Source organism: Homo sapiens, chromosome 13, assembly GCF_000001405.40.
Source record: "Homo sapiens chromosome 13, GRCh38.p14 Primary Assembly".
Lineage (NCBI taxonomy): Eukaryota > Metazoa > Chordata > Mammalia > Primates > Hominidae > Homo > Homo sapiens.
Window position 1 is genome coordinate 104998860 of NC_000013.11, and position 10396 is coordinate 105009255.

At 35.2% G+C, this 10396-nt stretch overlaps 1 long non-coding RNA gene across 1 annotated transcript; it reads right to left on the reverse strand.

Annotated features, from left to right (window-relative positions):
- Nucleotides 1–460: 460 nt before the first annotated feature.
- On the reverse strand, nt 461–8575 carry LOC107984609 (uncharacterized). The gene is made up of 3 exons (XR_001749999.1): nt 8475–8575; nt 2420–2454; nt 461–865 (listed from the first exon to the last, which is right to left on the reverse strand). It is a non-coding gene; the product is annotated as an uncharacterized LOC107984609 (long non-coding RNA).
- Between the last annotated feature and the right edge of the window lie 1821 nt (nt 8576–10396).

A 10396-nucleotide genomic window follows, 5' to 3' on the forward strand; every position in this document is an offset into this window, starting at 1 on the left:
CAGAAAAAGAGGTTGAATAGACTCACATTCCCCGTGGCTGGGGAGACCTCACAATCATGGTGGAAGGCAAAGGAGGAGAAAAGGCACGTCTTACATGGGGGCAGGCAAGAGAGCATGTGCAGAGGAATTGCTCTTACAAAACCATCAGATCTCATGAGACATATTCACTATCACGGGAACAACATGGGAAAACCCACCCCCTTGATTCGATTACCTCCCACCGGGTCTCTCCCATGACATGTGGGGATTATGGGAACTAAGTTCGGTATGAGATTTGGGTGGGGACATGGCCAAAACATATCAATGAGTTTCTACGAGAAGCAGCAGAGTAGATCAACAAGTTTACTAAAAATGGAGTTAGAGTAAGATGAATCTTGGCCCTGTCACAAACATTGCAACTTTAAGAAAACTATAGATCCACTGAGAAAGCTTTATTTTGTCATCAGTAAGTATTAATAATCATACCTACTGCCTGTCTAGCTTCATGGGCCAATGTAAAAATCATATCAATGAACAGGAACACCATGTAAGAATTTGGTAATATTCCTTTTAGGTATTTTGTTTAATGTAAGAATCATTTTAATTTATCCCCCTAAGGAGATATCTATAGGTTTGCTAGGGTTGCTGTATCAAAGTGGCTTAAACAATGAAAATGAATTGTCTCACAGTTCAGTTTTGGAGGCAGAGGTCTGAAATCAAAGCGTTGGCAGGGTTGGTTCCTTCTGAGCATAGTGATGCAGAATCTGTGCCTCTCCTCTAGCTTCTGGTGGCTGTCCACAATCTTAGCGTTACTTCCCTTGTAGATTTCTGCTTTCAACATCACATTTTCTCTTTGAGCATGTCTGTGTCCAATTTTCCACCTTTTCTAAGGACACCAATTATGTTGAATTAGGGGCCCACCCTATTCCAGCACCCCTTCATCCTAACTAACTACCTCTGCAAATATTCGAATTCCCAATAAAGTTGTGTTCTAGATGCTGTGAGTTACAATTTCAACATACAAATTTGAGGGGGGCCATAATTCAACTCACTACAAGTGGTATATATTACAGTTGCCAGATTGAATATAACACAGGTAAATTTGAAATTCAGAGAAGTAAGTGTATGTGTGTGTGTGTTTATATATAAATATATATTTTCATATAATTTCATGTATATTAAAAGTATATATGATGTATATATGATGTGTATATACATATATAAAATTATATATGATGATATATGTATTTATATATGTATATAAGCATATACTTCATATTAATTATTCTGAATTATTTGGCCAATGATGAAAGACATAGTAATCTGCATTGAATACATATATATAATATATAAAAGTATATATACTTTCTATATATATCCCACGTAAATATTTCTATTTGCTAAATCTTGAAATTTTAATATGTGTACATCATTACTTATCATTTTCAATGTCATGATTTTTAGTGAACACTGAACCAGACAACTGAAGTTAGGTAATTCCTTTTAGACTAGAAACTCTGAAATGAGGTCACTGCATCACTTTTGCTGGCTGGTGTGTCCACAGCACATGGCAAGGTACTTAGCCCACAGTAAGTACTTAACTACTAAAGTAACCTAATTTGTTAAAGAATAATTATCATTACTAAATAGTATTATTTAGTAACTGTTATTACTGTGTTTCAAAATTGCAGTATATTAGTTAAAATATATGAATAAAATTAGTATGTGTTATGTACCTAATTATTATATGAATATATAGGAATTATATGAATTTAGACTCAGCCTAAAGATAATATTTTGCAATTTATGAATTAATAGTTATATAGTATTAATGGGGGTATAAACCCTGTTAACAACTTATGCATTGGGTGAAATTTTTTGAGTATTGGTTTTGACGGTCGTGAGAATTATTACAAAATTTAAGTCCACAATGGAGGTCACTTTGCCTTTCATCAGGCCAAATAATTAAAAAGATTGATACGTTTCTATTTCATAAAGATCTACATTTGTCAAGCAACTACTTCTAAAATATATGCAATTCATAGGAGGAAAAATTATTCATTTTCTCCTTTAAATAAAATTCAGCTCGGTAGGAAGGTAAGCCTATAATGCAAAAGGACAGAGATCAAAATTATTTAAGAAAGAGAGGATACAAACCATCTATGACCCGCTGTTATATTCCGAAATGCCTAATATAAGTTCTCTAACTAAATGGAACATTTAGAATAATATTCAGAATTGAAAGATGATGTAAGATTCACCTGCTGATCCCTCCAAAACTTTGATCATTTTCTTGTGCAAGCAACACCCTCCATGCCTCCCACAGTCAGGTGTGTCTCATTTGACACTGGCATTATTTCTTAATCTCCGTGTACTTTTTAATCTTTATCGCCAACCAAATTGTAACCTTCTGGATGACAATTATAAAGTTGATACTTACTTTGTCTTTTCAATGCTGCTGTCAGGTATTAGGTACTAAATTTAAAAAAAAAATAACAAATTGAATGTGAATAAATCCATTAAAGGAAGCAGTAATACACGTATACTGATTCTATATATTGACAACGTAACGGTTATAGCAAATATCATTTCTCTGCTGATTGGCCATCATGATATTTTAAAGCATTTTAGAGGCATGCATGTTCATGAAATGACCCCACTGCCTAAAGAGAGCTCGGTAGCAGTAGCCTAGTCTCTGGCCGATGACAAGGTAACAGTACACATAGACTGTTAGGAAACTCTACTTATAAGTAAATGCTGGGTGTCTCAAGCCTCTCTGGCCCACTGCTCTTCTCCATATAATGGGTGTAGCAGATCTCTAGTAAAGGAAGGGTAGATGCTGGCTTGGCTGGAGTCACGACTATAGAAACCTCTGATGTCTCATATAAGCAAGAGCGATTAGTCTGGTGTTGCTATCTTGGAGATGAGCCAACATTGACACTGGAAAATAACCCAGCCTAGACCAGAATTAACTGGGGAAATGAAAGTAGTATATCAAGGATGGGAAGGATAAGAAGGAATGAGAAACGAGGGAGTGGCCAGCAGAGCATGAGTAGGTTTGACTTCAGGTTTTCTCTCCATTTATCAGTGCAGGCAAACAGCATTTATTTATAGCAATTAGAACCAAGGGGAAGACCAATTTAAGGAAAGAATTCAGGGTCAAACAAGCACAGAGGTTGCTTTCTTGTGTGTATGTTTTCTCCTAAATGAATTATGGTCATTAGTATAATAAAAGGGGAAAAAAGCAACACATACATGGTCTGCCCTAGTTATAGATGCCTACATTTATATGTATGTACATATTTAAAAGAAAATATGTGCATTTATAGATACATCTATTTCAGTGTTGTGTTGAGTTTCGTCCTGTGTATTACATGTCAAGAAGTACATCCCAAAATACTTTTCATAGAAAACTATTTTCTAAGTATACAGAATTTGCTATTTGGTGTGACCTGAGTATCATCAGTCATCATCATCATCATCGTCACCTTCATCGGTAATGCGTCATCATTAAACACTTATTGCCTACCTCCAAATATTCTGCAACAAAATGCTATATTGTGGGACAAAGTCACACCTCACAACTTATACAGAAAATCAATTACTGCAAAGGAAACACATGTAGAAATTGGTACCCATTCATACTTTGTACAAAATTATTCACTTTCTGTGTGGTCACAGTTTCAAGGCCAAGACTAATAACTGACCATTATTATCAGTACATAAAAAGACTCGGGGAATCACTGCAAGGATGCAGCTACAATTATTAAAACAACAAAGACAATGAAAGACCACTGTTTTAGACAGAAAGTTTCCACCTAGGAGGACTCAACACATTTTCATGGTCTTATATGCTGACCAACAGCAAGCAGGAAAGGGGAAAGAGGCTAAATAGTGATTTCAGTGTCATTTCACAGATTTTATTGCTTTTCTTAAGGATCATAATGTACTTGACATATTGTAATACTGGAAAGAATTTTCATGCAGCTGTGAAACAGGTACAGCTTCACAGACCTTTTCATTTTTGGTGTTGCATCATCAGCAAAACATTATGAAAATTACTATCATATTTCTCCATATTCTTTATTAAGCATTCATGACAAATTAAAAAATCATATAATGTTTCATTTGCCATTTTCCTGTAAGGTATATTAATATGACTTTACATATGAGAACAATGAGGTACAGGATTACAGCTATTTAGGTTTTAAATCGGCAGAGGCAAAAAGAGTAGAATAGTCCTATTTTCTAAGCCCAGCAACTACAACACATTTCCAATAGAAGAATCATTACATTTATAACTGGGTGGTGTGGTGTGCTTATTGTGCTCTGTTTTTTTTCTCTCTTTGAATGAACTAGTCATTCTGACAGGTCAAAGAGTTGATCATGTCTAGCAATGACCTCTTGATTTATAGCAGTGACCCGCTTAAAAATTTCTTGTTCATCATACTCACAGGTCACAGATTTTCTGCCAGATGTCCATCCTGTGAGTAAATCATACAATTGCACAGATAAAAACATTAAGATGGTGTGAAAGCCACATTCACTTAAAGGGTGGGTGCAGATAAAACACTGATATTTCTGTAATTATTACTAAAAGAATATTCCATAATAAATTTAGGCTGGTCTGCAGTAGGTATATATTAAAGATGTAATTGCACTTTTCACAAGAGGTAGGATTTGCCATGGAAGACTCTGCCAGGATTTCTTTAGTCTGGATGTAAACCAAGAATCCGTCATATCCCTATAGGGTAATATTCACCTTATAAAACAAAATTTGTGTATTTACTTAATTATGCCATAAGATGTCCCTTCAAATTCATGGCCAAAGTTCAATTGAATGAAATGTCTTTGTGATGAGTGTACCTCTCGAGCTGAGTGAAAAAATTTACCAATTTTCCAATCATAAATGAATCAAAAATTGATTAAATGTACATTGACCTCATGCCACTGATCGTTAAGAAGGAGGCTGCAATAAAGCATTCCTAGATGTAATCAATAATTTTCTTCAACTATTATTTAGAGAAGAGAGCCATCAAGGCACAGTTTAATCAATAATGTGAAACACACTTTTTATATGTAGAAGAGGGACTGATCATTTTTATTGTGACTGATGCAGAACTAATGGGTGAGGTTAAAATATAAGGCAAAGGGCAAGAGTATTATGACTTTTTTCTTTGACGTTTTGAATAATAGGCATAATTGTGAGCTCCCATGTTAGTAATTAACTCCAGAAAACTGTTAATGAAAATTACTAGCACTAAGATTTTCTGGCCAAATAATAAATAAATAAATAATGCACACATAGAAACACACATATTACACACACACACGCACACACACACACACAAAATATGTCTCTAAATATGCAAAGTATTTCCTATGCTGGGATTTCTTACTTATTTATAGGTCTCATATATGACTGCATTGGTAAAAACCATGTAAAGTTAGGATTCAAAATGACATTGCCCTTTGGACACAATTTAAGCTCTCTCACTCACCGTCTTCTCTAGAGATAAATAATTGGCCAGGAGCAGTGGCTCATGCTTGTAATCCCAGCATTTTGGGAGGCCAAGGCGAGTGGATCACTTGAGCCCAGGATTTCAAGAATAAAACCTGAGCAACACAGGAGAACCCCTTAAAAAAAATAGCCAGATGTGATGGCACATGCACTTCCAGCTACTTGGGAGGCTGAGGCAGGAGGATCACTTGAGCCTAGCAGGTCTAGGCTGCAGTGAGCTGTGATTCTGACACTGAACTCCAGCCTGGGTGACAGAGCAAGACTGTCTCAAAAGAAAGAAACAAACAACAACCAAACAACTATTAATGTTATTTTCTTAAAACTTTCTCTCTACCAAGTTAGCTCCCCCAGATGCTATTTCAAGAGTAGATTCTGCTCTACTTAAAAGTAATGGCAGAAATAAAATTAATGTGGCATCAGAATTTAGAATTGATTAGATGGAACTCTTACTTTTTTACTCAAGTAAAGTTCCTAGGGAGCACTGCTACACAGCTGGACTCCAAATATTAGCAGGCAAAAGATGCATATATACTCCAAGGGGAATTTCCTAAGTTGTGCTAGTGAGGAAGGCAGGCTCCACTGGCTTTTCCAGAGAGTGAGTGAGAAGATAAAGTCTGAGACATATAGAAACCTCTACTTTTTCCTTCCCCACCCCATCCCTTCATTCATTCTCATTTCTTCTTGTTCTTATTGTCATTATTCTCCTAAGCAACAAAGGGCAAATTGATCTTACAGTCATCATTCTTCTTTTTTTTTTTTTTTTTTTTTTGAGACGGAGTCTAGCTCTGTCGCCCAGGCTGGAGTGCAGTGGCACGATCTTGGCTCACTGAAACCTCTGCCTCCCAGGTTCATGATCATGAGGTCAGGAGATCAAGACCATCCTGGCTAGCATGGTGAAATCCCGTCTCTACTAAAAATACAGTCATCATTCTTAGCAGAATACATCAATGAGAGGCAGAGAGTTTATTTTTTTACAATCATAAAGCTAGGGAGATTGAATTTCCAGACAAAGGTCTTGGTGAGAGGACTGGGAAATGGGGAATTAAGAAATCTGGAGACAGAATAGAGTCACCTAGAAATATAAAATCTTTCTGCCAGCCCAAAACTTCAGGAAATTCTTATATCTTATACAAAGTTCAGGTAGCATGTGTTGTCTTTAAGACAGGGGACCGTACTCTATCTCCAAAGTGTCATGGTGTTATTTAAATCACACATAGAATGTCCATGGAATCAGAAGTTTAGGCGAAGAGCCCACTGGGGAATAAGCAAACACCCGCCTCCTCTTAGAATCCTCTATTGCCTTCTGAATTACAAAGCAAATTTGGAACGACATGAATCAATCATAGCCCGTGGATGGGATTAGCACAGATTTCACTTGAGTTTCGAAGGATGAAGTAGATCAGCTAACATCAGAATTATATGTAGGAAAAGGTCACATTAGAGATTGGGTATATAAGAAAAATGTATGCAAAGATTAACGCATTTAATTTAGTTAAAACTTATGCAAAATTATTATCAGATGGGACTGTTCAGATACAGCTCCAATGGCATAAATGTTTTCACAATCTACAGCCAAATGATGGTGAATTTTATGGTATATAAATTCTCATCAGTTACTGAAATAATATCTGTTTGTTAATTTTGGGAGTGTTACTTTTAATGGGAACTAATGCAAAACTCTTTTTTTTACTAGATTTTTATTTTTATTTTTTAATTAATAAAACAATTCATATATATATATATTTTTTCCTCCTCCAAATTTTGTGATATTATGGCATTTGAGGTAGTGTTGTTATATTATTTTCATGCCAAAAGTTCAGTACTTAAGTTCTTATGTGTGAATTTGTGGTACAATTTTTCCCTTGCCAAATGTAAAATATATCATGGCCTATTTTTATTATAGTGTAACTTTCTTCATTTGTAAAATCATTTTCTCTCTCTCTTTCTCTCTCTCTCTCTCTCTCTCACACACACACACACACACACACTTCTATACTAAGCTCTAAAATATTAATCACTCTTCCTAAGAATGAATTTACACTAATTACCCCAGGTATATATGCTAATTCCTCCAGGTATAGATGCTGAAATATCCTGGAGGTCTGGGATGGGCGAGTCAGGTGGAATTGAAAGAATAACTTAGTTATTACCGTAGTAGGGAGTTGAAGAAATGAACACTCAGAGAGGTTGAGCCAGTTGCTTGGAGTCACATAATTAACAAGTAGCAGAATTTATATTTGACCCCAAAATGTAAACTTTTTACAAAAATATGCTTCTGACTATACAAACATGTTTAATTATCATTCAGAAACTCATACCCAGAAAGATTGTGTGAGTTTCATAAGGCCATACAACTCTTTACAAAATATGTGGACAGGCTCAAAATATATCATCAGACAAATTTCTGTTTTGATGGATGAATCATTTCTTCAAATAGAAAGAACCCTCAATATTCAGTGCCAAAGTGATATATGTATGCACATGTCCATGTGTGTTCAACATAAAACATCACCAGTCTATTCACCCCATTCTCAAGCTTGAAGAGTGAGAGGAGAGCACTGATGTCAACACATTGTTTCAATTCCATTATTAACATTAAAATCATATGTATACATATGTATTACTATATAATATACACAGTGTTATATAAAATAATATATATTTATATTCTATAAATTCATTTTATATACATACGTGTTTATAGGAGCCAAAAATAAGTTACATTTTATGGCATTCCTTAGACCCTGGTAATCAGCATTCTGTTCTCTAACTTTATGAGATCAAACCCAATATGTTTTAGTGGTATATTAGACTTGACATTCACCCCCCTTTCTGTGCACAGTTTGTTTGTTTCTGCCTACTCTCCTTATCCAACAGTGCACTCTAGGCACAGTGGAAACTGCCCTCTGTTTCAAACATTGACCAACAATGCCAAACAGCTCCTGCTGCTGGTATCTGTACTTGCTGTACTCACCGACCACGCTCCTTCCCTGCCCGCTGAACTCAACCGCATGGACACAGGGCTCATTTCCTCCCATTCTTCGAAGCTTTCCTTAAGTACTCCAGTATCACTCAGGGCCCCACCAGAGAAACAGAAACATAGGAGATTATATATAGAGATATAATGTGTATAGCTAGATAGATTGATTATATATATATTAAAAAATACACACACATTAATACATTAATTAATTAATTAATATTTTATGTATTAATATCATTACATTTATTTATTATTTTATTTATTAATATAATCACATTTATTGATTAATTTATATATTTATTATTTTGTTTAGTAATATTATTAATTTATTTATTATTATGTATTTACTTTTCCATTGGCAGTCAAACTATTAATCGGGGAGGCAATATTAGGGTGTTATAAGAAACTCCTGTGTTAATGTTGAATTCTTATGGGAGGCTGAAGAGGTGACTAGGTAACTAGAGACAGGTGTGATAAGTAAACTTCAACTTACAACCACTTGCTCCTTTTGAATTTTTAAACGGGTGATTTTTTTGTTGTTTTTTGTTTGCTTTTTTGATACATTATATTTGTACATATTTCTGGGGTACACGTGAAATTCTGTTCTATGCATAGAATGTGTAATTACATGCATAGAATGTATAAAAGGGTAAAGTCTTTGGATATAGGAGAACTCCTCTTAGATTATCAAAGTAATTTGGAAAAGACTTTCTAAAGTCAGGGTATTTCAGGTATCCATCATCCAACATGTATCATTTCTATGTGTTGCGTACATTTCAAGTCCTCTCTTCCAGGTATTTTGAAAACTACAATACATTGCAATACATTGTCATTACTATAGTCACTCTATACTGCCATTAAACATTATAACTGATTTCTTCTGTTGAACTGTCTGTATGTTGGTATCTAGTATATGTGTATATATACTGGATATGTGTGTGTGTGTGTGTGTGTGTGTGTATATATATATATATATAGAGAGAGAGAGAGAGAGAGAGAGAGACTTATTTTCAAAAAAATTGGAATATGAGATAGTGGGGCCTCTGAAATCCATATATAGATCAGGAAGGGCCAACCAGAACTCTTGGGTGTGAGCTGAATGCCACTCTACAGTTGTAATTTCTCGTTCAAAGAAGCCTTAGCTTCGCTCTTGAGATCTTTCAACTGATTGAATCTGAGCCACCCAGATTATCAAGGATAAACTCCCATGATTAAAGTAAACTGATTATAGACCTTAGTCAAATGTGCAGAACATCTTCGCAGCAACACCTAAATTAGCATTTGCGTGAATAACTGAAGCTATAGCCTAGCCAAGTGGACACATACAACTGGACATCACAGCCTCCTTCTCTGTGAAGCCTCTGCCAAGCATCCTGAATGAAACTGTACCAGCCGCTCCCCTGCTCCATGGCCGTCCTCACGCTGCTGCTGTGCTTCATCATTTCCACAGCTTAATCAACATTAGTCAGTTTTGTATCTCCTGGATACACCAGAACACTAGCCACATAGAGTGAATACTTAAAACATTGTTAGAATGAATAGACGAAAAGAAAACAAATATAGAAACCACAGTGTCAAGGGAAGAAAAGGGTAAAGACTTTGTATCTAAGAGAACTCCTTTTAGATTCTCAGGGTAATTTGGAAAATATTTCTCAATAATTTACTATAAACAATTTAAAACATATAGAACAGTCAAAAAAATAGGAAATAAACCTCTGTACCCCTTACCTGTAAATACGTGTGTGTGTGTGTGTGTGTGTGTGTGTGTATTAGGTTGGTGCAAAACTAATTGCAGTTTTTGCCATTATAAAAATTGCAAAAACTGCAATTTTAATAACATTATTTGCCAATTTAATGGCAAGAACTGCAGTTAATTTTGCACACACCTAATATCTATAACATTGAAAAATAAG